Source organism: Homo sapiens, chromosome 12, assembly GCF_000001405.40.
Source record: "Homo sapiens chromosome 12, GRCh38.p14 Primary Assembly".
Taxonomy (NCBI): Eukaryota; Metazoa; Chordata; class Mammalia; order Primates; family Hominidae; genus Homo; species Homo sapiens.
Genome location: NC_000012.12, coordinates 112,962,922 through 112,990,734, shown reverse-complemented (window position 1 = coordinate 112,990,734; position 27,813 = coordinate 112,962,922). Strand labels below are relative to the sequence as shown.

Below are 27,813 nucleotides of genomic sequence, written 5' to 3'. Positions count from 1 at the left end.
TCTGGCATCACCTGACAGATAACAGGCCCTAAAGGAAATCAAAAGTATTTTACCCCAAAATATATTTCTTTGACATATATTGGAATGGCCCTGCAAAGCTGTGTCCTGTGGAAAAATTCACATTCTGTGGAGAATCCCCTTCCCCTTCCAGATCTTTTCCTGATTCAGGAGAGATTTTAACTAATCGTCTGACATCTTTAAGGTCTGATAAGGGACATTTACCACCTATTCTCCTTGAAGCCTGCTACCTGGAGGCTTCATCTACATAATAAGAACCTTGTCTTCCACAACTCCCCTTTTCTTAAGCTGAACTCCTTCAACTAACTGCTAATCAGGAAATCTTTATAACCATCTATGACCTGGAAGACCCTGCTTTGAGACATTTTGCCTTTCCAGGCTGAATCAATGCACATCTTATGTGTACTGATTTACGTTTCTGCCTGTAAATTCTGTCCCCCTAAAATGTATACAAATCAAGCTGTAACCTAATCACCTGGGGCACACGTTCTCAGGAACTACTGAGATTGTGTCACAGGTCATGGTCCTCATATTTGGCTCAGAAAAAACCTCTTAAAATATTTTACAGAGTTTGGCCTTTTTGGTCAACTTCCTAAATGCAGTGAAAAGCCATTAGAGGCAGAGTGTGTGACACAATATTTGTGCATGGAAAGAGAGCACCAGCTGCAGGGTGGAGTGAGACAGGAGGCAGGGAGACAATTAGGAAGCCATTGCCCCATCCCTGGTGGTGACGTTGACTAGGGAAGTAGCAGTGGGAAGGGAGAGAAATGATGCAGATTTAGGAGCAAGTTAGGCAGAACTGGCAGGACTTAGTGATGGGCTGTGAGTGAGGAGGTGGGGGAGCTGGAGATACAATCCTGGCTTAGGTATATAAACCAAAAACAAAATTCTAAGCACCCCCAGTCATCTGAATGGACCTCTCCTCTCAGCAAAGGCATTCCAAAGTTGACCTGAAAAACCAGTTCAGGCCATGATGGGAAGGAGGAGCTGGACATGCCTCATGATACCTCCCTCTCTTTTGGAATTAGTGATAGAACAGGCTCTTGTCTGATAAGAAACATTTACAATCTATTCTCTCTGAAGTCTGCTACCTGGAGTTTTCAGCTGCATGATAAAACTTTGGTCTCCACAACCCTTTATCATCATAACCCAGACATTCCCTTCTATTGATGATAACTCTTTCCATCAATTGCCAATCAGAAAATCTTTAAATCTACCAATGACCTGGAAGCCCCCACTTTGAGTTGTCCTGCCTTTCCAAACCAAACCAATGTACATCTTACCTGCATTGATTGATGTCTCATGTCTCCCTAAAATGTATTGTATTAGTCTGTTCTCATGCTGTTAATAAAGACATACCTGAGACTGAGTAGTTTATAAAGGAAAGAGGTTTGATTGACTCACAGTTCCACATGGTTGGGGAGGCCTCACAATCATGGTGGAAGAGCAAGGGACATGTTACATGGTGGGAGGCCAGAGAGAGCTTGTGCAGGGGAACTCCCCTTTATGACACCATCAGATCTCGTGAGATTTATTCATTATCATGAGAACAGCATGGGAAATACCTGCCTCCATGATTCAATTACCTCCCACTGGGTCCCTCCCATGACATGTGGAAATTGTGGGAGCTACAATTCAAGATGAGATTTGGTGGGGACACAGCCAAACCATACCACGTATACAACCAAGCTGTACCCTGAGCACTTTGGGTACATGTCATCAGAACTTCCTGAGGCTGTGTCATGGGTACATCCTTCACCTTGGCAAATATACTTTCTAAATAGATTGAGACCTGTCTCAGATACTTTTGGTTTACAGGTGATAGCGTTGCTGGAAAAGAGGGTCCTGATTCAGATCCCAAGAGAGGGTTCTTGGATCTCATGCAGGAAAGAATTCAAGGCAGGTACAGAGTATGGTGAAAGAAGCAAATTTATTAGAAACGACTTTGTTACAGGGTAGGGCATCCTCAGAAAGGAGAAGGAGGAATGCGCCATTCTTTGTTAGTGTCTTCGTTGATAAGAAATTCTAAGGAGCTGTCATTAAAATTGGAATGTGCAGATGTGCTCACTAAAGGTAGGGGGTATTGGTGCTGTTAAATCAAGTTTAGCCTAAAGCTGCCTCCTTACATATTTTAAGTTTGGCCTAAAATTTCTCTGTACATGGTGAACTATAACCTAAAAGGATGTGTAAACAGACTGCAACCTACTCTTGTGCCAATCACTGAGTTTCGGCCAATCAAAGGTGGCCAACTGTTCAAATCTCGTTCAAATAAGGCCAATGCTGAGCTATAACCAGTCTGGCTGTTTCTGTACCTCACTTTCATTTTCAGTACATCATTTTCCTTTTCCTGTCCATAAATCTTCTTCCACCACGTGGCTGTGTTCAAGACTCTCTGAACCTACTCTGGCTCAGGAGGCTTCTAGATTTGTGAATTGTCTGCTCAGTTAAACTCCATTAAATTCAATTTGGCCAAGAATTTTCTTCTTAACAGTGGTATTGATGACCATTAATCCTTCAACCTAAACCTGCTCATTAATGCTGCCTTTAAGTGGGCTGAACTTTTAGGACACCTGGACATTTTGTAGGCTTAGTGGGAGATGTTTTGTATGGCCTTAAATATTCTGCAATTATAATTGGTGGTCAGCTTAGACTGTGGCTATTTTCAGACCCAAGTATTAAGCCTGTAGGTTCCTTTTGAGTGCCTAGCTACTTGCTTTAAGATGGAGTCACTCTAGCCATCTTTTATTAAACCAGAAGCCTGGTAAGCAGAGGTTACTTTAACAATATGCAAGAGTGTGGGAATGTTTGCTGAGACAGGAGACACAAGAGGTGGGCAGGTCTTAGGGATTTAGGAGTTGGGTTCAAGGCACCCCCTCAAGCTTTGATAGTTATCTATGGAAGGTCGTTGCCTTGATTTTGACCTGGTAGGAAGGCAGACTTCAAATGCTTGCCCCAGCTGGACTTTTCCCAGATGTCTGCCTCATCCTCTTACTCTAACCAACACTGACTCTGGTCAAAACCTGCAAGCATGATCTGCGGACCAGCAGCTCATCATGGAGCTGGCTAGAAATATGAAATCCTGGGCTCTAACTCAGACCTCCTGAGTCAGGATCTGCATTTTAACAAGGTTCCAGGTGATTTATGTGTACAGTATGGCTTAAAAGGCTCTGCCTTAGATTCTAGAATCCAGAACATTTTCTCCAAAGACAATCAGGGTATGGGGGAGAAGTTAGTTCCAGAGAAGAGAGCGAGTCCAGGGTAGAAGGGATTCTTCTCTCCTGAGGGTCTATGGTCTCCCATTTTTTAAAGCAGCAGTGGTATCTATCCCACTCATGGCCTAGAGGTTGCACAGAGCTGTCTGGCACCCGCTTCTTTGGCTTTTCTCTCCTGACACCCAGCAATGCTTACTCAGAGCGTTGAAGGCGGCCAGCACCTCGAAAGAGATTCTCTGATTTTTTGTGAACACCTGGATGGTGAACCCATCAAGGGACTTCTGGATCTCGAAATTGTTTTTCAACCACTTCGTGAACAGACAGAACTTCAGCTTATCCCCAGTTTTATCGAGGATGTCACGTTGGCTTCTCTTCTGATCCTGGAATTGTTTTAAGTCACTGAAGAAGAGGACAAGGGTACCATCGGAGTTGCCTCTTAAGACTGTTTTCCGTCCATAGGAGCCACCCTGCCAGTGACAAAGAAGCAGATATGAGACACTAGATTCTGGGGTTACAGGGATCTCTAGCAGGCAGTGGTATTTCTCAACTCAAGTAAAAGCCAAAAATGGTCTTAACATTGAGTGGCAGGCATCCATTTGCCCCACAAAGACCTGATTGGGATGCTCATAGTAACACTTTTCATACTAGCCCCAACCTGGAGGTGACTCAAATGGCCGCTGGCAATAGAAACGGATTGAACTGCCCCACCTGCCACCAGCACCTGTGCTTACTGTCCCAGGGCCTGAGGATAGGATCGCCTCACCTGCCATTGTTGCTGGTGCCTGTGCGCATCTGGGGGAATGGGGGTAAAACTGTCCCACCTGCGGCCAGCACCTGCACACACCATTAGGGAACCTGAAGACAGGCTCGCCCCACCTGCCACCAGCATCCACATGTGCTGCCCAGGGGCCAGGAGATTAACCCGTCCTCTTTACCACCAGCAGCACAGGCACACACCATCCAGAGGCCTAAGGATGGGCCCACTCTGCCTGCCACTAGTGACCACATGTGTCTCCCAAGGGCCTGGGGACCAGCCTACCCAGCTTGCCATCACTGATGCCTGTGTACACCACTTGAGGGCCTGAGGGTTGGCCTGCTGCTGCCGCTTCCAAACAAGCCACCTGGGGGCCCAAGGACCTGCCTGTTCAGTCCACTGCTGCTACCACTGGCACCCGAACATGTCATCTTGAAGTCTGATACCCTGCCCACCTGGACACACCAGCATTGACACCCACATACACTGCCTGGGGGCCTGAGGACCAGCATGCCTGGCATACTGCTGTCACCACTGGTGCTTGAAGACCAACCTGCCTGATGTCCCTGTTCCCAGCACAGCCTTTCCACAGACTCCATTAACAACTACACTGTCAGCCACTGAGGAGCTCACAGACAACACTGATGCTAATGAAATCATGTGGAGGCTCCACTAACTGTGCCCACACAGAATCAAAGCCAAAGCGCTCCACTCAACCAACACTATAGACACATCTACAGGAAAACATCTTTTTTATTTTATTTTTATTTAATTTTTTAGAGACAGGGTCTTGCTCTGTCACCTAGGCTGGAGCATAGTGGCACAATCATATCTCACTGTAACCTCAAACTCCTGCCAGAAGCAATCTTCCCACCTCAGCCTCCTGAGTCACTGGGATTATAGGCATGAGCCATCATGCCCAGCAGAGGAAAATGTCTTTCCCTATGAAAGTCAATAAATAAAATTGGAGAAGTGACTGTTACATTAGCTGTGCTGATATCAATGTAAGGACACAGAAACATGAAAAAGCAAGGGAAACATGGCACTTCCAAAGGAGCACAATAATTCTTTAGTACAGATCCCAAAGAAAATGATATCTGTGCAATGGTTAAGAAAAATTCAAAACCATGATATTAAAGAAATTCAGTAAGATACAAGAAAACACAGATAAACAATACAAATAAATCAGGAAAATAATTTATGCTCTGAATGAGAAACTCAACAAAGAGATAGATATTGCTAAAAAGAACCAAAGAGAATTCCTGAAACTGAAGAAATCAATGAATAAAATAAAAATACAACTCACTGCTTTAACAATAGACTAGGTCAAGGAGAAGAAAGAATTTCTAAACTTGAAGACAGTTCTTTTGAAATAATCCAGCCAGACAAAAGGAGAGAAAAATAAATAAAAATGAGTGAAGAAAGCCTATGTGCCATATTGGTAATCATAAAGTAACCAAATATTTAAATTTGGAAAGATCTAGGAGAAGAGATGGGCAAAGGCATAGAAAATCTATTTAATGAAGTAATAGCTGAAAACGTCCCATGTCTTACAAGAGATTTAGACACCCAGATACAGGAAGCTCAAAGATTCTCAAATAGATTCAACCCCAAAATGTCTTCTGCAGGCATATTATAGTCAAACTGTCAAAAGTCAAAGACAAACATATAATTCTGAAAATAGCAAGACAAAAGTATAAAGTCACATATAAGGGAATTCTCCTCAGACTAATAGCAGATTTCTGAGCAGAAAACTTACAGGTCAGAAGAGAATAGGATGATATGCTCAAAGTGCTAAAAAAAAACCCTTTCAGACAAGAATACGATACCCAGCAAAGCTATCCTTCAAAAATGAAGGAGAAACAAAGTCTTTCCCAGACAAGCAAAAACAGAGGGAATTCATCACCACTAGACTAGTTCTACAGAAAATGCTTAAGAGAGTGTTACATCTGGAAGCAAAGGGATGATGTCTACCATCATGAAAACACACAAAAGTATAAAACTCACTGGTAGAGCAGATACACAAATGACAAAGAGAAAGGAGTCAAATGTTATCATTACAAAACCCCCAACAATTGGAAAGGTAGGCAATAAAGAGAAAGAAAAGAACAAAGAATGTACAAAACAATCAAAACAAATAACAAAATGACAGGAGTAAGTTGTTACCTATCAATAACAACCCTGAATTTAACAACGGTTTAAATTCTCTAGTTAAAAGATACAGACAAGCTGAATGGATAAAAAATAAGGTCCAACTATATGCTGCCTCCAATAAACTCACTGCATCTGTGAAGATACATATAGACTGAATGTGAAGGAATGGAAAAAATATTCCACACAAATGGAAACCAAAAGTGTGCAGGAGTAGCTATACTTATATCAGACAGAGTAGACTTTAAGTCAAAAACATAAAAAGAGACAAAGAAGGTCATTTTATAATTAATGATCAAGAGATCAATTCAGCCAGAGGATATAAGTATGTGTATATATGTATATAGACATATATATGTATATGTATATTTATACACATATGTATGACCACCCAACGGTAGAGCACTGAGATATGTAAAGCAAATATTAGAGCTAAACAGAGACCGAGAGACTGCCAATACAGTAATAGCTGGGAACTTCATCTCACTTTTGGTATTGGGCAGATCACGTAGACAGAAAATCAGCAAAGAAATACTGGACTTAGTCTGCATTATAGTCCAAATGGACCTAATGAATATTTGCAGATTATTTATTCAGCAAAGAATACTGGACTTAGTCTGCATTATAGTCCAAATGGACCTAATGAATATTTGCAGATTATTTATTCAGCTACAGAATACACATTCTTATCAGCACAGGGAATGTTCTCCAGGATAGACCCTATGGTAGGTCACAAAACAAGGCTCAACAAATTTTTAAAAATTGAAATACTGTCAGGTATCTTAATGGATACTTACCACAATGGATACAGACCACAATGGAACAAGAGGAACTTTGGAAATTGTACAAATACGTGAAAATTAAACAACACGCTCCTGGACAACCACTGGGCTGATGAAGAAATTTAAAAGGAAATCAAAAAATTTCTGGAAACAAATGAAAATGGAAACACAACATACCAAAACCTAAGGGATACAGCAAAGTTTGAAGCAATACATGCTTACATCAAAAAAAGTAGAACAATTTCAAATAAACAACCTAACGGTTCATCTTAAGGAATTAGAAAAGCAAGAAAAGCCAGGCATAGTGGCTCACACCTGAAATTCCAGTACTTTGGGAGGCTGAGGCGGGTGGATCACCTGAGGTCAGGAGTTTGAGACCAGCCTGACCAACATGGTGAAACCCCGTCTCTACTAAAAATACAAAATTAGCCGGGCGTGGTGGTGCATGCCTGTGATCCCAACTACTCAGGAGGCTGAGGCAGGAGAATCACTTGAACCCAGGGGGCAGAGGTTGCAGTGAGCTGAGATCACGTCATTGCACTCCAGCTTGGGCAACAAAAGCAAAAATCCATCTCAAAAACAAACAAAAAAGCAAGAATAAACCAAACCTAAAATTAGTAGAAGGAAAGAAATAATAAAAATCAGAACAGAACTAAACATAATAGAGGCTAAAAATTAACAAAATAAAAAGTTGGTTTCTTAAAAAGATAAACAAAATGGATGAACCGCTACTTAGACTAAATAGACTAAAAAAAGAGAAGACCCAAGTAAAATAAAATCAGGGATAAAAAAGGAGACATTACCATTGATACCACAGAAATAAAAGGGGTCATTAGAGACTATGATGAACAACTACATGTGAACAAATTGGAAAGCCTAGAGGAGATGGATAAATTCCTGAACACATACAACCTACTAAGATTGATCCAGGAAGAAACAGAAAACCTGAACAGACCAATAGTGAGTGAGTAGATTGAATCAGTAATAAAAAACTCCTCAACAAAGAATAGCCCAGGACTAGATGGCTTTACTGCTGAACTCTACCAAACTTATAAAGAAGAATTAACACCAATTCTTCTCAAACTATTCCAAAAAAATTGAAGAGGAGGGAATTACTCCTAACCACTTCTATGAAGTCAGCATTACCCTGATACCAAAACTAGACCAAAGACACAACAAAAAAGAAAACTACAGGCCAATATCCCTGATGAACATAGATACAAATACCTTCAACAAAATGCTAGCAAACCAAATCCAATAATACTTCGAAAAGATAACACATGATCAAGTGGGATTTATCCCAGGGATGCAAGGATGGTTCAACATGAGCAAGTCAACAAATGTTGAACATTTGCACATCACATCAACATAATGAAGGACAAATCATATGATTATCCTGGTAGATGTAGAAGAACATTTGGTAAAATTCAACATCCCTTTATGCTAAAAACCCTCAACAAATTAGGCATGTAAGGAACATACCTCAACATAATAAAGTCCATATATGACAAACCCACAGTTAACATCATACTGAATTGGGAAAGGCTTTCAGCCTGTATCCTGGAAGTCCTAGCCAAAGCAATCCCAAAAGATAAAGAAATAAAAGGCATCCAAATAGGAAAAGAAAAAGTCAAATTGCCCCTCTTTGCAGACCATATGATCTTCTATACAGAAAAACCTAAAGACTCCACCAAGAAAACCTCTTAGAACTGATAAATTTGGTAAAGTTGCAGGATACAAAATCAAAATACCAAAATCAACATACCATACCAACATACCAAAATACCAACATATTCTACACATCAGTAATGAACTAGCTGAAAAAGAAATCAAGAAAGCAATCTTATAGTATTTAACAAAAATACCTAGGAATGCATTTAACTAAGGAAGTGAAAGATCTCTACAGTGAAAACTACAAAACACTGATAAAAGAAACTGAAGGTGACACAAGCAAATGGAAAGACATCCCATGCTCATGGATTGGAAGAATTAATATTGTTAAAATAACCATACTACCCAAAGCAATCTACAGAATCAATGCAATCCTTATAAATACCAGTGACATTTTTTTTCACAGAAATAGAAAAAACAATCCTAAAATTTGTATGGAAACACAAAAGATCTCAAATAGCCAAATAGTACTGAGGAAAAAGAACAAAGCTAGAGGCATCATGCTACGTGACTTCAAAATATACTACAAAGCTATAGTAACCAAAGCAGCATGGGATTGGTATAAAAACAGACATATAGACCAAAGGAACAGAATCGAGAACCCAGAAACAAATCCACAAATTTACAGCCAACTGATTGAGAAAGCACCATGAACACACATTAGGGAAAGGATACTCTCTTCAATAAATGGTGTTGGGAAAACTGGATATCCATATGTAGAAGAATGAAACTAGGCCCCCGTCTGTCATCTTATAAAAAATTAACTAAAAATGGGTTAAAGAGTTAAACATAAGGCCTGAAATGATAAAATTAATAGAATAAAGCAGAAGAGTAATGCTTCATGATATTGGTCTATGCAAGTATTTTGTGGCTAAGACTTCAAAAGCACAGGCAACAAAAACAAAAAATAGACAATTGGGACTATATTAAATGAAAAAGCTTCTGCACATCAAAGGGAACAATCAAGAGTGAAAAGACAAGCTGTAGAATGGGAGAAAATATTTGGAAACTATTTTTCCAACAAGGGTTTAATATCCAGAATATACAAGGAACGTGAACAACTCAACAGCAAAGAAAACAACCCATCCCATTAAAAAGCAGCCAAAGGGCCTAAATAGACATTTCTCAAAAGAAGACATACAAAATGGCCAATGGGTATATGAAAAAATGCTTGACATCACTAATCACTAGGGAAATGCAAATCAAAACCACAATGAGATACCATCTCACCCCAGTTAGAATAGCTATTATCAAAAAGACAAAAAATAAACGCTAGCAAGGATTTGGAGTAAAGGGAATCTTACACACTGTTGGTGGGAATGTAAATTAGCACAGTCATTACGGAAAACAGTATGGAGGTTTCTAAAAAAAATAAAAATGGCACTGCCATTCAATCCAGCAATCCCACTACTAGGTATTTATCCAAAAAAGGGATAACTGCACCCTCATGTTTATTGCAGCACTATTCACAAAAGCCAAGATATGGAATCAACCAACGTATCCATCAGCAGCTGAATGGATAAAGACAATGTAGTATATATACACAATAGAATACTATTCAGACACAAAAAGAATGGAATTCTGTCATTTGCAGCAATGTGCATGGAACTAGAGGTCATTATGTTAAATGAAATAAGTCAGGCATAGAAAGACAATATTGCATGTGTTTATGTGGAAGTTAAAAAAAGTTGATCTCATGGAGGTAGAGAGTAGGATCATAGTTACCAGAGGCTGGGAAGTAGAGGAGGAAATGAAGAGAAGTTGGTTAATGGATACAAACATACAGTTAGATAGAAGGGATAAATTCTAGTGTTTGATAGCACAATGGGGTGACTATAGTTAACAATAATTTATTATATATTTCAAAATAGTTAGAAGAGAAGATCTGAACTGTTCTCAACACAAATAAATGATCAATGTTTGAGGTGATGGATATCCTAACTACCCTGATCATTTCACATTGTATCCATGTGTCCAAATATCACATGTACCCCATATAAATATGCACAATTATGTAAAAATAAAAAAACACAGTAGAATGGACAAATGTGGAATATTCACATAATGGAATTGACACAACAATGAAAAGATAAACAACTGTACCCCACAACATAAATTTCATAAACATCATAGGTCAGAGAAACCACGCACTAAAGCACACAGAGCCCATGATGCCATTTATGTAGGGTTCACCCATGCATCCTGGTTTACATTCCCAGCTTTCACACCAAGAGTCCCACATCCCAGGAAACACCCCAATCTTGGATGAACTGGGATAGTTGGTCACCCTATAATTGTAAAACGTTTAAAAACAGGCAAAACGTGTCTATGCTGTTAGAAGTCAGGAGATTGCCTACCTGGGTTTGGAGGTGCTGACTGGATCGGGGGCCCAGGGCTCTGGGGGGCTGAGAATGTTTTGTTTCTGGATCTGGGTGGGGGTTACACAGTTACATTGTTTGTGGCTACCTATCAAGCTGGACACTTTGATCTGGGCACTTTTTCTGTTTTACTTCCATGAGGAAAAAAAAATTGAGAGGCAGGATAGTGTAGTGGTTAAACATGCATGCCCTCAAGCCAATTACCCAGGCTTAAAATCCCAGTTCTGACAATAGCTATTAACCAAACTTGCCTTAGCTTGCTGGCCTGGGCCAGGGCTGGGGACACCACGTGTCTAGATTTCTTTATTGAGGCACTAGCGGATGTGTGCAAGGGGTAGAGACCAAAAAGTGTGGCAGCAGCAGAGAAGGGACGTCAGCAGCTCAGGAGGCTAAGAGGATAGTATTGGGCCATCAGGACCCCCACGCCCCCAATTCTAGGGTCCTGGCATCTCCCCAGTCCCCCTTCCTCCCCAGAGGTCCAGAATTTTCAGCCTCAGTCCTGAGATTTGTGTCCACAAAACCAAATATTTCTAACTGATAAAAGCCACTCCTTCTTGCTGCGGAGAAACCACAAGGCAACCTGGGTAGTTTGAACAAAGTTCTCTAGCCTCCCTAAGTTTACTCCTCTGTACTGTGGAGAGGATAGAAGAAAATCGCAGTGAGTAATCACAGTGAATTCACTGAGCACTGCCAGTCTTTTGCTAAGAACATGATGTGCTCAAGCCTTACGATACTCTGAAGTGGGTATTATGCCTCTCCCCATTTTACAGAGTCAGAGACTGAGGCACAGAGAGGTTAAGTAGCCTGCCCAGTGTCACACAGCTCTGGAGCAAGCGCCTGCTCCAGAGCCTGAGACTCCTACACCACATCCCACCCAAGTGTGGGCCTCGCACATAATAGGCACCCAGCACCCAGTAGCTCGGCCTTGCTGCCGCCGTGGAATCTCCTGCCTCCCAGAGACCCAACCTCAGCCCTGGACTCACTATGGCCACTCCCTGCACCAGGGGGAACTGTTCGGGTTCCTGCAGGACGTCACAGATGGTGTTCACCATCTCGTCGATCAGTGTCTGACATTCTTCGTAGGGCTTCAGGTATTCCTGGATAAACCAACCCAGCTTCTGAGCAGGCACCGAGGACAGCTGGGACTCCCCATTTCCCATTGCTCTCAGCTGGCTGCCGGCAAGACAGTGAATGGTAGGATGGGAGGCAGAGGAATTCTTGCTGCTGCCCAGAGCCAGGAAACTGAAACTGAAGTCTAGAGGCCTCTCTCCACCCACTGCAGCGAGCTTACCAACTCTTGTATCCGGGACAGGGAAACAAAACTAACTTAAGCTCAGAGGCTCTGCCCTGCCCCTTGCAGTGAGTTTACCAACTCCTGCATCCGGGGCAGGGAAACCAAAACTAACTTAAGCTCAAATGCTCTTCCCCGCCCCTTGCAGCAAGGTTTACTGACTCCTGCACCCCAGCAGGGAAACCAAAACTGACTCAAGCTCAGAGGCTTTCCCTGTCCCCGGCAGCGTGGTGACCAGCCCTTCAGGGGCTCCCCAAAACTTGAGGTTAACTAAACAGCCTCTAGAACCCCATTGTGAGGGCTTCATACCTGCTAGATGTCTGTCCTTGAGCACATCGCCTGCCCTCTTCGCGCCTCAATTCCCCCATCTGTAAGCTGGGGGAAAATGGCAGCTCTCTCGTAGGATTAGCTTGATGATTAAATAATACCTGCAAAGTGCTTAGAAGCAGGGGCGCACAGGTCATCTTTTGAGGCTCTGTCCCTTTCCCCCTGTTCTCAGTGGCCAGGGAACTCACATTCAGGGAAAGCGGCAGAGAGGAAAAAGAGACCCAGAGAGGGAACTGACTTGCTCAGGGACACACAGCAAAGCAGGGACCTAGCTGGACTCAGGTTTTGGTCTGCTTCTGGGTAAACACAGGCCCCCGTGTGGTCAGCGGGTGGGAACCTCTGTGTGTCCAGTTTCTCAGCACACTTGTGGACAGCCGAGGGACCGTATGAGGCACTTGTCCAGCCTCGCAAGGGCAAGAAAACACACCCCAAGTGTGTGAGCCAGAAAGGAGACAGACATGCAACTCCTGTGCCCAGAGCTTTGAAAACAAAACTCGCAGAGGACTCCCAGCCAGCTGCCTTGGCCCAGCAATAATAATTCACAGAGAAGGCAAAAATCTCCAAGATGTAGTGGGGGACCAGGGCCCTTCCATACTGGGATGGTTAATTTTATGTGTCAAGTTGGCTGAGCCCAGGTACCCAGATATTTGGTCAAACATTATCCTAGATCTTTTTGTGAAGGTATTTTTTAAAGATAAGATTAACATTTACATTGGTAGACTTTTTTTTTGAGTAAAGTGGATTATCATCTGTAAGGTGGTGGGCCTGATTCAATCAGTTGAAGGCCTTAATAGACTAAAGACTGAGCTCCCCCAAGGAAGAGGGAATTCGGCTGCAGTGCCTTGGCCTCCACTTGCAGCAGCAACTCCTTCCTGGGTCTCCCACCTGCCAGTCTACCCTGCCGATTTTGGATTTGCCAGCCTCCACAATCACATGAGCCAATTCCTTAAAATAAATACCTCAAAATAAATATAAATACCCTGTTAGTTCTGGAAAAACCTCGATTAATGCACATGCTCATTAAGGGCCTTTCCTGCCCTTATCCAACTTTTACTGCAACACCGAGAGGTAGGCAGGCTGGGCAGGCGTAGTCCTAAGGTTCCTTTTTCAGATGAGAACATGGAGGCTCACAAAGGTGGAAACATTTGCCCGTGATCACACAGCTAGGAAGTTGTCAGGCTAGGTTCTCACACTAACACACTGCCTGACTCCAAAGCCTGTGCTTTATTTGTTATTTAAAAAAACACTTTATTTTGAAGTAATTTGAAATGCTGAGAAAATTTACAAGATGCACACAAAGAACTTCCTTAGACTTTTTAGCCATTATATTTTTTACCACATTTGCCCCTCATTTTCTTGCTATTTATACATTTTAGGAGGTTTTTGTTTTGTTTTGTTTTTGAGACAGAGTCTCACTCTGTCACCCAGGCTGGAGTGCAGTGGCGTGATTATAGCTCACTGTAGCCTCACCCTCCCAAGCTCAAGCAATCTTCCTACTTCAGCCTCCTGAGTAGCTGGGACTATAGGCATGCACCACCATGCCTGGCTAAATTTTTAAAATTTTTTGGTAGAAATGGGGGTCATGATGTCACCATGTTGCCCAGGCTGGGCTCGAACTCCTGGCCTCAAGCGATCTTCCCACCTCAGCCACCCAAAGTGCTGGGATTACAGACCTGAGCCACCACGCCCAGCCCTTCATGAGTATTTTTATTCCTGAACCATTTGAATGCATGTTGCATGATTTATGTCCCTTTACTCCTAAATGCTTCAACCTATATCTCCTAAGAGCAAGAATATTGTGTTACAGAAGCACAGAACAATGGTCCAATTCAGACTTTTATCATTGATACAATGCTATCATCTCATAACATATATAATAAATATAATTTTGTATAATTTATATAATATATAATTTATATAACATATATAATAAATATACGTTTATTATATAAATATTGTATAAATATATATTTTGAGACAGACAGAGTCTCACTGTCACCCAGGCTGGAGTGCAGTGGCACAATCTCGGCTCACTGTAGCCTCAACCTCTCAGGCTCAAGCGATTCTTCTGCCTCAGCTTCCTGAGTAGCTGGGACCACAGGCACACACCACCATGTCTGACTAATTTTTGTATTTTTTTGTACAGGTAGGGTCTCACCATGTTGCCCAGGCTGATCTCGAACTCCTGGGCTCAAGTGATCTGCCTGCCTCGGCCTCCCAAAGTGGTAGAATTATAGGTGTAAGCCACTGCATCCAGCCATAAATACATTCTTATATTGAAAAATTTACCAACGATTCCAATACTCTTCTTTATAGCATCCGCACCCCCGCCAACATCTAGGCTCACACATGACATTTAGCTGACGTATGTGACAGACGTGTTTCCTGGGAAGCCCACTAGGAAAGCAATGGTGATGTTTTTACTGGGGGAAGTTTCCTCGGCGTTCATTCTTGAGGTATTTTGATGGCGTAAGTTGAGTAGCTGCCTGCTTGTGGCCCATCTAGTCTGTCCCTATGAACACCAAGATTTAAGGGTCATCTCCATGTTCTGCAGGCCAGCCCCTCCTGGCCAATCCTGGGCCCTACCACTCATGGTGAGCACTGTGTCCCCTAATGGGTGCCATCTCCTGGCCTCTCTTACTCCAGGGTTCCACCATCCCTTTTGCTATCAGTGAGCCTAGCTCCCAAGGGGCCTCACCCACCATCCTGTGATGGCATCTCCTGCAGAGGAGGCTTTCTGAGCTTCTCTGTGATGCTGGCTGGTGTTCTCTTCCTGGTCCATTCCTCGTGGACTTGGTAAAGGGGAATCTTGGCCTTTCCATGGAAGATCGTCGCCTCTGGCTCCCTGGGCCTTATGCAGCCTTCCCAAGCATTGCCACTTCCCTGACCTTTCATCGCATCTGCCACCGTCTCCCCTGGCAATTCTGGCATTTGGATCTCACTTAGCATGGCCTCCTACTTTTTCCCGTCTTCTAGGAGCCCTCCTGGCAGCAAGTTTACACCTTCTCCTGGAGTCCTTGCCTGGGTGTGCAGCCCTGAACTCCCAAAGGACTTCCGAATCAATAAACCCTTTCCTATCTGACCTCACACTGCAGCCCCCTGATCGAGCACCCTCAAGGTTGACTCCTGCACAAACTCACCCGACTTCTGCTGGTCATGCTGGCTTGGCCCTCCAGCTACTTTGGGATATAGGCCCTTTCCTCCCCTATGAGGCCCGTCACATCCCTGGCTTGTTTATGCTGGAATTTAAGCCTAGTTACAACCCTTGTGGGCAGGAGAGGAGGTGGGCACAGGGACAAACGTCTTGTGGATGCCTCTATAGGGTTTCCAAGCAAGGGAGGAGGGTTAGCTCTTAACAGGGAGGGATGGATAGGTCACTTTTACAGCTCTAGGAGTCAGAGGAATCTGAGGATTCAAGATTCTCAGTGGGACCGGGGTGGTGGCCCTTGCCTGTAATCCCAGCACTTTGGGAGGCTGAGGTGGGCAGATAACTTGAGGTGAGGAGTTCAAGACCAGCCTGGCCAACATGGTGAAACCCCATCTCTACTAATAACACAAAAATTAGTCAGGCGTGGTGGCATGTGCCTGTAGTCCCAGCTACTCGGGAGGCTGAGGCAGGAGAACCACTTGAACCCAGGAAGTGGAGGGTGCAGTGAGCCAAGATTGTGCCACTGTACTCCAGCCTGGGCGACAGAGCAAGACACTGTCTCAAAAAAAAAAAAAAAAAAAAAAGATTCTCAGTGGCATCAACCTGTATGTTCCCATTCTATGTGTCAGGGCCCTATTCTTTTTTACCATGTAGGGTCCTGACCACATTGAGCAGACCTGATAATTTTGACAGCATATCATCACTTTCTCATCTACCCACTAGGATGGCTATAATCAACATGATGGACAATGAGTGTTGGCAAGGATACAGAGAAACTGGAACTTTCATTCACTGCCAGGGGTGGGTGTGTATAAATGGTGCAGCCACTGTGGAAAACAGTCTGGCAGTTCTCAAATGGCTAAACATAGAGTTATCACGTGATCCAGCAATTCCACTCCTAGGTATACATGAGGGTTAATTTTATGTGTCTGCTGGACGGGGTTAAGGGACGCCCAGATGGCTGGTAAAATGTTATTTCTGGATGTGCCTGTGAGCATGTTCCTGGAAGAGATTAGTATTTCAATCTGTAGACTGAGTAGAGAAGACAGCCCTCACCAGGGTGAGTGTGCATCTTCCAATCCACTGGAGGCCTGAATAGAACAAAAAGAGGAACAGCAAATTTTCTCTCCCTGCATGAGCTGAGGCATCTGTCGTCTGCACTCGAATATTGATGCTCCTGGTTCTTGGGCTTTCATACTTGGATTGGGACTTATTCCAGCAATCTCCTGGTTCTCAGCCTTCTGAATTGGTCTGAAACTACAACCACTGGATTTCCTGAGTCTCCAGCTTGCAGACGGTGGATCACAAAACTTCTCAGACTCCATAATCACACAAGTCAAACCCTCATAATAAATCTCTTTATATATCTCTTCCTCTATTCTAATGGTTTGGTTTTTCTGGAGAACTCTGATTAATACAGCACACAGATGCTCCTTGACTTATGATGGGGTCATCAATTGTGGATCGCCTTTTATACGTAAGAAAAATGAAAACATATGTCTGCACAAAATCTCATACAAGAGTGTCCATAGCAGCTATTAGTCATAATAGCAAAAAATGCAGCAAAATAGCAAAAAAGTGGAGAATATCCAAATACCTATCAATGGAAGAATGGATAAACAAAATGTAGTCAATTTATGCAGTGGAAATGTCTTTCGGAAATAAAAAGGAATGAAACCTCAACATATACTATAACATGAATGAATCTTGAAAACATGTTAAGTTAAAGAAGCCAGACACAAAAGGCCACATATTGTATGATGCCATTTATATGAAATGTTGGCAATAGATGAAATACACAGCAGATTGGTGGTTTCTAGGGATTAGGGAGAGAATGGGTTGGAGGAATGGGGAATGACTGCTAATGGGTTTCAGGGTTTCCTTTTAGGGTGATGAAAATGTCTGGAATTATTATGATGAATGCATCTGTGATATGGCTCTAGTTATGAATATGCTGGATATAAGTCTTATGAATAGACACCAAGTATAAATCTTATGAATATACTCACACCACTGAATTGTACACTTTAGAAGGGTGAGAGCTTTATGGTATTGACTTGTATCTCAATAAAAACTTTTTAAAAATTAAACACACACACACACACACACACACACACACACACCAATTTCTTTGCAGTCCTGCATTTCTTAGGATTCAGTTCTGGACTTGGTCTTCACTTTCTCTGCCTTCTGGCTGCAAGAAATGCAACCCTCTTTTACCACCAAGGAGGCCCTCTGGCTCTCTCACTTAGCTTTCAATTGCTGATTGATTGCATTTAGCTTTTTACTACTTTTTTCCCCAGAGTCTTGGAAAGAGCCACCTAACTGCATTGGTCTATTTACGTACCAGCGCCATGCTGTTTAAGTATCAGAGGCTTCATAGTATGTTTTAATATTGGCTAAGACTAGGCCCTGCTCAGAACTCTTCTTTCCCTGTGTTTTCCTAGCTATTGCGTGTGTATTTTTCCATAAGAACTTTAGCGTCAACTTACCTGGTTCCATCGAAAAGCATATGTGGGTGTTTTTAGGGTGACCATTAAGCCTATCAATCAACTCAGGGAGAACTGACATCTTTATGCAGTCAAGTCTTTCCATCCGAGGGTGTGGCTAGACCGGGAAGCCCCCAAAAGTTACAGTGGGGCCAATATGCCAACACCAGGGTGGCCATTGCCAAAGACTGAGGGCCTGGAATGAAATACACCCCTGTTCAGATGAGCAAGCCCTCCTCTCTGCCCTACCCAGATGACAACCTCTCCTTGTATCATGCACCTGAGTTGCTCTGGTTCCCACCATCTCATAATTACTCTAATTCTGGAGCCATTTTGCGGGGAGGCCCAGAGTCTGTGTGGTGGGAATGGAAGGTACCCAACTGCGACCTGCCACCTGGTCTTCCCAGGAGCATCACTGGCTTGTGATGCCCAGGCCAGGGCCACTCTGCTGCTGGACAACTTGGCAGAGCAGGTCTCTGCTGCCCACCAGAACTGGCCCTGAGCTCTTGGATATGTGTGTGGCAGCAGCCAGGGCCAATCCAAGAGGTGGAGTTTGGGGTCCTGAGAGTTCTAGCTTTGGATTACCAGGCAGTATCGATGAGGTGAGTCTAAGAAGGTGCCCTTAGCGTTGGTTCAGCACCAAGATGGGGGACAGGGATGGAGGCTGTCAATATGGCACAGGTATTAGAAGCCCTGTCCTCTGTCCCTTCACCTACTCTAGTCTCTGTAGGCTGAGCCAAAGACGGCAGAGAACAGGTTCTAGGTGAATCAGAGGAGCTTCCCTTGGTTGCTCACCTCTCTCCAAGAATGACAATAATGAGGGAAGGCTCTTCCCATCCCATTCAATCTAGCATTCCTAGCAGGTAAGTTTTAACAGTGGTTTGTGGAGAGTCAGGCTGTCTAAGGCACTCCTGTGGAGCAGAGAAGGGATGTTCAGTGGCTTCCTTTCTTTGTTTCCTGTTCCTTCCTCTGAGATAGACCCACTCCCTCATCCACGCAACAGATGGCCAGGATGCATCTGCTGGGGACTCCGCCCCCTGGCACTTGGCACCCATTCAATCATACATGTCTCAGACTCCTCTGCAGCCAGAGGTCTGGCTGTAATTTAGATTCTGCTAAGAAAGGGAGGTGGGATCCGTCTTCCCGCAGCTCTGGCAGCTGGCCATCCCTGATGGATGTTTGTGGTTGCAGGAATCTAACCTAGGTCTCGACTCCAGTTTTGTCCATGTGGGGCAGTGATGGCAGGGGTAGTGGTGGCATTAGCAGTAGCAGTGGCTGCTCTCTGGCCTCTGATTCGGCTACAGTGGTCTAATATTGAAACCAATAGTCCAGTGGTGGCCTCTGCCTTCTGCTCCTCCAGCCTTTCCAGTGATTTAGATAAAATCCCTTTCTGCCTAAGATTCCTAGAGTGCTTTCTGTTTTCTGGGCTGAACCTTGACTAGTGTGGACACTGTTGTTGGACTTGAGGTCAGGAGAGCCTCCTGGATGGACCTGGTGGGCCTTGCTCTAGAGGGCAGAGAGAAACAGGCTGAGCACGGTTGTTTGGCCACTGGCTCAGTTTAGGCTGTGGGGATGCAGAATCTCAGCATGTTAGGAGAGAAAACAGGGACCCAATAAAAATTCAGGAAGGCAAACTGAGCCACAGCATCAAGATGTGTAAACTAGGGGAGGAGTGCAGCATAAAAGGTGAAGAAAAGGAGGCCTCTCATGAAGAGGCATCCAATTAGGTGTCCAACAAGAGGGTCCCCATAGCATGCATGTCCCAACTCCCTCTGTCTGTGTCTGTGGCAGACAAAGTAAGCCAATATGGGCATGCTCTCCTGCTAGCAACCGAGCTCAGAGGGCTCTTCAATAGCCCACATATACACTGTAAACCTGCAAGCACCTTCTTTTTTCCGTATCCAGTGCAGACATTGCTAATCAATCATGGCACTTGTACCACCACTTTCCTCTACTGCATCCATGGCAGACATCACTAATTGATTAGATAATTCTTCTCAGCTAATTGGCCATTCTTTAAAACCCTTCAGAAGATAAGGCTCCAGGTAGCCAGTACCAAATGACTGTGGCTGACAGATGAGATGGGAACTCTCTGCCATCCCTATATAAACTATTTAGATTTGGCAAGGAGAGGCCAATGGGAGGAAGGGATGGATTGCAGCAGGAGGAAAGATGTGAGCTAATTTGCATGGGCAGAGAGGAGTCAGGGAGGAGGGGGCATTCTCAGCTGGGTGGGAAGCAGCAGTGGTGGTATGAGGATAGAGTCATGGAAGTGACAGAGAAGCTGCAAACGCAGGCTGGTGTCAAACCATGGAGTCTGGATCCTAGTGTGTAAGCCATGGGAGGCAGGGGAGTGTGTGAGCTGGGAGAGCAGATTCACTAAAACACACACATGCACACGTGTGCACACACATGCACACATGTGCTCACACACACATGTACACAATCTCTCTCATCTGGTAGGGGACCCTGAATTTCCTCATGCTGAGGGCTGGTGTCCATCTTCTCTTCATCCAGTAGGACCGCTGATTTTCTCAACTTCACACAGCAGCCTGGGGAAGTATTATAAGAGATGTTGGTAACCCCATTCTTTCTGCAGAAGCTGAGACCACACAGCCGGATGGGAAAATGGAAGCACAGGGGCATACCTGGGGCCATCACTGGGCCCTGCCCCTTTAGTGGGAATCATGTCCCTCCCCTGACCATGCTCCCCCCTTACCCCTAAAGGGTACTTCCTTTGGCACCACAGATCTCTCACCTTCACTGGCCATGGCTGGATGGGGATGCCATTCCGTCCCATGCAGCACAGGGCAGATGTGCAGGCTGCAGCTTCCTTGGCCAGCAGGTCCCAGCGGGCATTGTGGCCCAGGTTGCCTGTCGGGTCAGCCGGATCCAGGATGATAGGCCTGCAATTCCCACCCAGGGACAGTCTTATTCCTGGCAACATCTAGGTGTCCACCTGTGGCACTGGTTGGACTATTTTCCCCTTTTATCTAACACTTTGCAGGGGCTAGAGCCAGGGCTCAGAGATTCCTCAGTGCTCCTATACACTACAGGGCAGGTATAGAAAATAAGACACACATGGCCACTTTGCCATTCTGCATTCAGGCAAACATTACTAATCAACCACGGTGCTACCGCTTACCCCTTCCTTATTCAGGGGAGGCATTGTTAATCAATCACAACACTGGTTCCACAACTCTCCCCTCCTGCATCCATGATACAGGTTGAGTATTTCTTATCTAAAATGCTTGGGACCAGAAGTGTTTTGGACTTCAAATTTTTTCAGATTTTGGACCTTTGCCTTACTTACCAGTTAAGAATCCCTAATTTGAAAATCCAAAATGCTCCAATAAGCATTTTCCTTGAGCATATTTTTTGGTGGTCAAAAAGCTTCAAATTCTGGGCCATTTTCAGATTTTGAATTTTTGCATTTGGGATGCTCAACCTTTGGACACTACTAGCTGGTTAGCCTACTCTTTCCAGCTGAGTCAAATCACAACCTTAGAAGCTTTTTCAACACATCATTCTAAGTAGCCACTCCCCACTGACTGGAGATGCATCTTGAGTTTGCAAAAGCATCTCTATTATCTCTGTACCCATTTCAGAGGTAGGCAAAATCCCAAAGAATGAAACATGCTTATGGCACCTGGGTGGGTTCACAGGTAGGGTGGTCAGATTTAACAAATACAAATACAAGGCTGGGCACAGTGGCTCATGCCTGTAATCCCAGCACTTTGGGAGGCCTAGGCAGGCGATCACTTGAGGCCAGGAGTTTGAGATCAGCCTGGCCAACATGGTGAAACCCCTGTCTCAACTAAAAATACAAAAATTAGCTGGACCTGGTGGCATGCGCCTCTGGTCCCAGCTACTCAGGAGGCTGAGGCAGAAGAATTGCTTGAACCCGGGAGGCGGAGGGTTGCAGTGAGCCAAGATCGCGCCATTGCACTCCAGCCTGGGTGACAAAAACAAACAAACAAACAACAACAACAACAAAAAACCAGGATGCCCAGTTAAATTTGACTTTCAGATAAACAGTGAATAAATTTTTAAGCGTAATTATGTCTCAAATATGGCATCGAGCATACTTATACTAAGAAGTTATTCATTGTTTATCTGAAATTCAAATTTAACTTGGGGTCTTGCGTTTTATCTGGCAACCCTATTCCTGGGTGACCAGAAAATTGACCGTTTGTCCCTCAGGTACTACAAATATAACTTCTAGGAAGGAATCCGTTCTAGGAAGAGTGTTTTCCCATCTCTGCTCTGCAATCTAGAAAGTGGGGAGAGTGAGTGATCCCAGGTTTGAAATTCTGGAACATTGGGGGTAGACCTGAACCTGGGCTTCTGAAGCTGCTGTTTCAGGAAGTCTCCAACAGTCTTGTCCTTGGCGTTGTAGTTGATGGTCCAGTAGATACAGAGCTGGCGGTACTGGGTGACCAGCTCCAGGACCGTGCGGAAGCCCTCAGCCATGTTGAACTGGGAGTCCTTCCCGCCCTGCTCCCAGGCATACACAGTCAGGAGTTCCAGCCCGTGCTGTGGGGGTAGGGAGCCTCTCCCCTTGGAGATCTTGGTACACTGGAGAACGAGAAGAAAGATATGTTGGTTCATATTGGCACTGATGAGGTACAGAAGGGATTATTCTGGACTTGGCAAAGCAACCCCAAAACTTTTATTGAGCACCTACATGTGCCAGATGCCTTGCCATGCATTATCCCATCACATCCTGTGACATAGTTTTATCACCCCCATCTTACAGATAAGAAAACTAAGGTCCCACAGCTGAGATATAGCACTCTTTCTGCTCTGCTCCACCAACCCAGGATCTTGGCCAGGGCTGGGCCCTGCTTCCTCCCAGGAAAGTGCTCCAGAGGCAGATCCCAGGGCAACTTAGGAAGGTGGCCTATCCATGTGCCGAACCTGCTGGTACCAGTGCTTCACCAGCCGGATCAGGCTCTTCAGCTTGGTAGGGCGAGAGATGATGAAGTCCCGTTGTAGCTCTGTGAAGCAGGTGGAGTACTCGCCCGCATTGCTGTAGCTGTGGATGAGGTCGACGTAGACTTGAGAGCTGGGCCTGGAGCCAGAGACCAGCTGGCCTGGAGATGGGGAGATGGTTACCATCACTCCGGCTCCCATGTTGTCCCAGTGGGGCCAACTTAGAAAGGACTTCTGAGATCTCCTACCTCTTGGGTGTTTTCCTAAGGGTGGTCTGGGATCCACTGGGAGGCCACAGGGTGTTTTTAGGTGGAACACAGATGTGGCCTGATCCACATTAAATCCCTGGTGACAGTCATCCTCCCTTTTCTGCTCCCTTTCAAACCATCTGCTTACCTATCTTGGAAAAAGTCTCAGCTGGGAGCTAGCCTGTCTTTAACACCTCTCTAATACTTACTTATCTTTCTGTCTAACCGAGGGAGGGCAGGCCTCAGTCTTACATCCTCCTGCAGGTAACAGAGCTGTGTATGGAGTTGACATCACCATTCTGGTTACATTGCACTTAAAGGCATTCCTTAATATCCAAATTCTTGCTCTCTGAACTGAAGAACTGAGTAGATTCAGATAAATTTCTGGGCTGGGTGCAGTGGCTTACGTCTGTAATCCCAGCACTCTCGAAGGCCACTGCAGGAGGATCATATGTGGCCAGGAGTTTCAGATCAGCCTGGGCAACATAGTCATATCCCCATCTCTACAAAAAATTCTATAAATTAGCCAGGTGTGGTGGTGTGCACCTGTAGTCCCAGTTTCTCAGGACGCTGGGGCTGGAGGATCACTTGAGCCCAGGAGTTTGAGGCTGCATTGAGTCATGATGGTGCCACTGCACTCCAGGCCAGGTGATAAAGTAAGACCCTGTCTCTTAAAAAAAAATTCTGCATGAATCCCTCCCTTGGCCACCTGCTCCCTCAAACTCAGAAACCAAATAAATTCGGATACAAGGGAATTTCTCACTCTGAAAACTGCTAATCAAACTGAGAGTTGAAAAGATATGAAGAGAGTTGTGTCTATTTTGTTCAAGGCTTTATTTTTGGTGCCTGGAAGAGCACTGGGCACAGAGTAGATGCATGTATTGAATGAACTGAATGAATGGATCTGCAGCAGGTGGAGGAGGTGGGTGGCACACAAACCATTCAAAGCTGGGAATGTGCAAGAAACATCAGTGTCCTTACTGTCAGATGTGAGATAAAGACACTGGGGCTCAGGACGGGGAAGTCCCTTGTTCAAGGTCATCCAGCATGTTGGTGGAATTGCTCAGACTGGAACCCAGCTTGAGGCCACTGTTAGCCCACAGAGTGCCTGCGCAAATTAGAAAAAGGGGCCCTCTTCTTTAGATACTTTGCAGGAAAGTTGTGATGAACATACACAACTACAATGCCTGCAATGATGCGAACAGATGTGGCCTGGTTGTGTACTGTGCAACCTCTACAACTGCCCATGGCGGCCCTGCCTCTGTATTTCCCCCTCTCAGGTCTACGCCAGGGCACCTCACCTAGGGCGTCAAAGGCTGGCAGCACATCAAAGTCCACACTCTGGTCCAGCATCGTCTGGGATGTCAGTGAGAAGCTCAGCACGCGGGGATTCTCCCATTTGGAGACTTCAAACTTGACCTCGAACTGCCGCTCCTGTTGACATGCCTCCAGCTGGGCTCGGATCTCGGAGATGATCTCGGCCCGCTTGTTGCCCTGCTCAGTGAACTGGCTGAAGCAGCTGAGGAACACCACGAGGTCGGCATCTGAGCGGCCTCGCAGAGCTGTGCCTTTGGCTGAAGAGCCACCCTGGAGAGGACATGGCAGGTGGCTCAACCCTTGAAGCATGGCTTAGCCTGTCGGTTCTGGACTGTGAGTTAGAAAACCTACTGTGTGACCTTGGACAAGTCATCTAACCTCTCTGTGTTAGATCTTTAATATGGTAAGAAAGACTGTATTTAAGATTGTAAGAAAAAGAAGCGTGCAAGAGGTAAGTTTAAACCCTTCAACAAATGCAAAATTTCTCATTCCATCATGTTTTGTGACTGGAGAGGATTTGAGAAGTGTTTTGTTTGTTGGTTGGTTTTTTGGGCCTGCAGCTCCCAAGCCTGTCTGCACCTGGAAGGCTTTTACCAACGACTAATGGCTGGCTCCCACCCCACAAGACTGTGATTTAAGTTTTCCTGGGTTGGGGCTTGGGCATCAGCATATTTTTAAAAAACTGTAATTCCAAGGTCAAGCCAGGGGAGCCAGAGTTGAGAGCCAGTGATCCAAGCCACTCTCCTCAAGTGTTAGAAATCAGGAACGTGAGGATCAGAGAGGGGAAGGTACATGCCTATGGTCACACAGCAAACCAGCATCCCTGGCACTGTTCACTGGCTGGCTTTATGCTAACACTCTTTCTGAGCTGATCTGGGTCTCACTTGTCTCTCCAACTGTGGACTGAGGCTGTATCCAGGGCCGTGGACAGTGTGACCTTTTGTACACCCCCAGCGTCCTTTCCACCTGGGATCAGCATCCTGGTGTTCTTTGGAGGGACCACTCCTACCCCACACTCAGCCCATGAGGACTAGGCGGGGGCCACTTCACCATGTGACCCAGTCTTGGCCATCCAGAGCATAATGTCTCCCTAGCCCCAGTAACTAGTTTGGGGGTTGGTAGGTTACCCAAGCCAGGCCAATGAGACTCAATTCCAAGACTTTTATTTGAATTTTAAGAAAAAACAAGTTCCCCTTTCTGGAAGCTTAGAGCTGCCAAAGACCACCATATGTTAAGGGCCTATCCAAGACATTAAAAAGCAGAACCGAGAACTGGAGAGAAAAACTGAGTCCTGATGATGCTGCCTGGGCTCCTGGATCTAGCTATGCCGGTAAGCAGCCCTACCCAGGACTTTCCAGTTACATCAGTCAATACATTCCTTTGTTGTGTCTTTTGAGTTAGGTGTCACTAGCAACCAAAAGAGACTTGTTGGACATATCTGGGCCCTCTCTCTGCCATCCTCCCATGACCACTTTCCAGCTCTTTCTCTATGCCTGGCTTTTTGCTGTTTGCTACGAGGGCGGAAGTGGGTCAAGCCTGGCCCTGGGCTGGGAGAGATCACCAGCTTGCAGGACACTGCTTGCCTACAGCTCTCTGAGGACTCACCTTGACCACCTTGATCACTTTGATGGGAGAATTCCGGAAGCAGTTTTCCTTCAAAAATGAACAGATGGTATCAACGGCCTTGTTCACCTGGGCCAGGAACTGGCGGTTGGGCTGGAGAAATTCACTGATGAACTTGTCAAGGTCCCCAGCTGGGGTTTGGTAAAGGAGGGCTGGCTGCAGAGAGAATCCAGGTGGGGCCAGCTTGAGACGGGACTCCCAGTGCTCACCCAAGCCCTGCCCCTTGATGTCCTCTGAGGACAAGACTCCCACTGTCTCCCATGTCCCTCTTTCCTTCTCAGCTGGTGGGTAGGTTCTGAGGTAGCATCAGAAGGACCTGAGATTGAATTTTGGTTCCAGCATCAATACACAGTCTCAGTTTCCCCATGTTTAAATGAGTGCAATAATGAAGTCCGGGTCTCAATGGATTGTCCTGAGTATTAAATGCTGGTTATGAGACCCTGCTGCAAAATAGTAAATGTGATAAAATCATATCCTTTTGGGAGCTGCAAGTGGCTTATGTCTCAGTTTTCCTAGAAGCAGGGTCCATGGCAGGAATTCTTGTGCATATGATTAATTGGGGCAGTGCTTGGAGGAGAAGTGGAACAAGGACAGCAGCAGAGGGCAGAGAAGAGGCTCAGCAAAGCTGGGTGCTCAGCCGGAGACAAGTGTTTGCCTGATTCCACAGGGAGCGCTGGAACGTGAGTTGCATCACAGAATCGGTTCCGCCTGGAGACAGAGTTAGGCTTTTTGTAACCCTGTGTCACTCAGGCACTGGCTGGGACGTAGCAATCTGTGCATTTCATGAAAGGCAAGTCTCCAGAGAAGGGGTGGCTATGAGTTGTCAGCCACCAACACTCCTAGCAGCTGGGGATGGGTGCACCGGCAGGTTAAGGGAACCTGACTAGAAGGCAGGGTGCAGGGCCCCCTGCCCCCCAGGACCCTCCATCTTACCATCACATCCCAGGGCTGCACAGATGTCCCGTCTCTACTCAGAAAGCAGGCCTGCATCCCCAGCGCTGCTGCTTCCTGGGCCAACAGCTCCCAGCTACCGTGGCCCACGTTCCAGGTGGGATCAGCGGGGTCCAGGACCAGGGGTCTGGGGGCACAGCAGGAAGGTGGGTGGGGAAGGTGGGAGTCAGTGAAAGAGGAGGCGGGTGGAAGGGCTGAAAAGGGGCGTGAGGGCTGGAAAGAGTGTCAGGACCTCAGGGTTGGCTCAGTCTTGCCCAAGTGCAGAAGCGATCTCAATTGGCTGCCTTGGTTGGAAAGCTATTGGGTGGCCCCTTCAACTGAGAAATACTATTTTATCATGCTAATAAAACTGGCCCTGGTTTCTTTTGGGACTCCTTATGTCCACACTTCCTCAGCAAAGAGTCCAGAGGGAAGCAGAGTGAGGAGTGGGATTGCCACCCCAAACCCTACCTTGGACTCCTCCTGGATGACTGACTCCAGGGTGACAGTGGGGAGGGGGAGGATAATGAAGCCAGGCA

At 45.4% G+C, this 27,813-nt stretch overlaps 2 protein-coding genes across 5 annotated transcripts in view, besides 8 other annotated features; both read right to left on the bottom strand.

The window, feature by feature from the left end:
• The window catches only part of OAS2 (2'-5'-oligoadenylate synthetase 2), a 33,205-nt gene extending 20,989 nt beyond the window's left edge, over window positions 1–12,216 (bottom strand). For 2 of the 3 annotated variants that reach the window (NM_002535.3, NM_016817.3), the window contains exons 1-2: window positions 11,950–12,216; window positions 3,427–3,697 (exon numbers count right to left, since the gene is read on the bottom strand). In NM_002535.3, the coding sequence (NP_002526.2) occupies window positions 3,427–3,697; window positions 11,950–12,126 (448 nt within the window). In that variant the 5' untranslated portion in view covers window positions 12,127–12,216. Of the gene's footprint in view, window positions 1–1,929; window positions 3,698–11,949 lie in introns of those variants that run through there. The other variant, NM_001032731.2, reaches the window with a different exon arrangement.
• Window positions 11,052–11,201: an enhancer, noted in NCBI's record as "active region_7057". NCBI's record gives its function as "activates an Ori minimal core promoter by ATAC-STARR-seq in GM12878 lymphoblastoid cells {active_cell/tissue: GM12878}" and the evidence as "EXISTENCE:reporter gene assay evidence [ECO:0000049][PMID:35858748]".
• Window positions 11,312–11,391: an enhancer, noted in NCBI's record as "active region_7056". NCBI's record gives its function as "activates an Ori minimal core promoter by ATAC-STARR-seq in GM12878 lymphoblastoid cells {active_cell/tissue: GM12878}" and the evidence as "EXISTENCE:reporter gene assay evidence [ECO:0000049][PMID:35858748]".
• Window positions 11,562–11,641: an enhancer, noted in NCBI's record as "active region_7055". NCBI's record gives its function as "activates an Ori minimal core promoter by ATAC-STARR-seq in GM12878 lymphoblastoid cells {active_cell/tissue: GM12878}" and the evidence as "EXISTENCE:reporter gene assay evidence [ECO:0000049][PMID:35858748]".
• Window positions 11,862–12,671: an enhancer, noted in NCBI's record as "active region_7054". NCBI's record gives its function as "activates an Ori minimal core promoter by ATAC-STARR-seq in GM12878 lymphoblastoid cells {active_cell/tissue: GM12878}" and the evidence as "EXISTENCE:reporter gene assay evidence [ECO:0000049][PMID:35858748]".
• The window catches only part of OAS3 (2'-5'-oligoadenylate synthetase 3), a 34,778-nt gene continuing 24,448 nt past the window's right edge, over window positions 17,484–27,813 (bottom strand). The window contains exons 10-16 of one of the 2 annotated variants that reach the window (NM_006187.4): window positions 27,278–27,422; window positions 26,327–26,500; window positions 24,706–24,991; window positions 23,142–23,317; window positions 22,561–22,799; window positions 20,980–21,127; window positions 17,484–20,773 (exon numbers count right to left, since the gene is read on the bottom strand). In NM_006187.4, coding sequence (NP_006178.2) covers window positions 20,762–20,773; window positions 20,980–21,127; window positions 22,561–22,799; window positions 23,142–23,317; window positions 24,706–24,991; window positions 26,327–26,500; window positions 27,278–27,422 — 1,180 coding nt within the window. In that variant the 3' untranslated portion in view covers window positions 17,484–20,761. The remainder of the gene's footprint in view (window positions 20,774–20,979; window positions 21,128–22,560; window positions 22,800–23,141; window positions 23,318–24,705; window positions 24,992–26,326; window positions 26,501–27,277; window positions 27,423–27,813) is intronic. The other variant, NM_001410984.1, reaches the window with a different exon arrangement.
• Window positions 22,260–22,429: an enhancer, noted in NCBI's record as "experimental_24553 CRE fragment used in MPRA reporter constructs". NCBI's record gives its function as "activates a minimal promoter by MPRAs in K562 erythroleukemia cells, with activity observed for both the introgressed and non-introgressed 12:113406196 variant alleles {active_cell/tissue: K562}" and the evidence as "EXISTENCE:reporter gene assay evidence [ECO:0000049][PMID:34662402]".
• Window positions 23,275–23,444: an enhancer, noted in NCBI's record as "experimental_24547 CRE fragment used in MPRA reporter constructs". NCBI's record gives its function as "activates a minimal promoter by MPRAs in K562 erythroleukemia cells, with activity observed for both the introgressed and non-introgressed 12:113405181 variant alleles {active_cell/tissue: K562}" and the evidence as "EXISTENCE:reporter gene assay evidence [ECO:0000049][PMID:34662402]".
• Window positions 26,793–27,293: an enhancer, noted in NCBI's record as "H3K4me1 hESC enhancer chr12:113401247-113401747 (GRCh37/hg19 assembly coordinates)". NCBI's record gives its function as "activates a minimal SCP1, AML or CMV promoter by ChIP-STARR-seq in naive H9 embryonic stem cells {active_cell/tissue: H9 hESC(naive)}" and the evidence as "EXISTENCE:reporter gene assay evidence [ECO:0000049][PMID:30033119]".
• Window positions 27,294–27,794: an enhancer, noted in NCBI's record as "H3K4me1 hESC enhancer chr12:113400746-113401246 (GRCh37/hg19 assembly coordinates)". NCBI's record gives its function as "activates a minimal SCP1, AML or CMV promoter by ChIP-STARR-seq in naive H9 embryonic stem cells {active_cell/tissue: H9 hESC(naive)}" and the evidence as "EXISTENCE:reporter gene assay evidence [ECO:0000049][PMID:30033119]".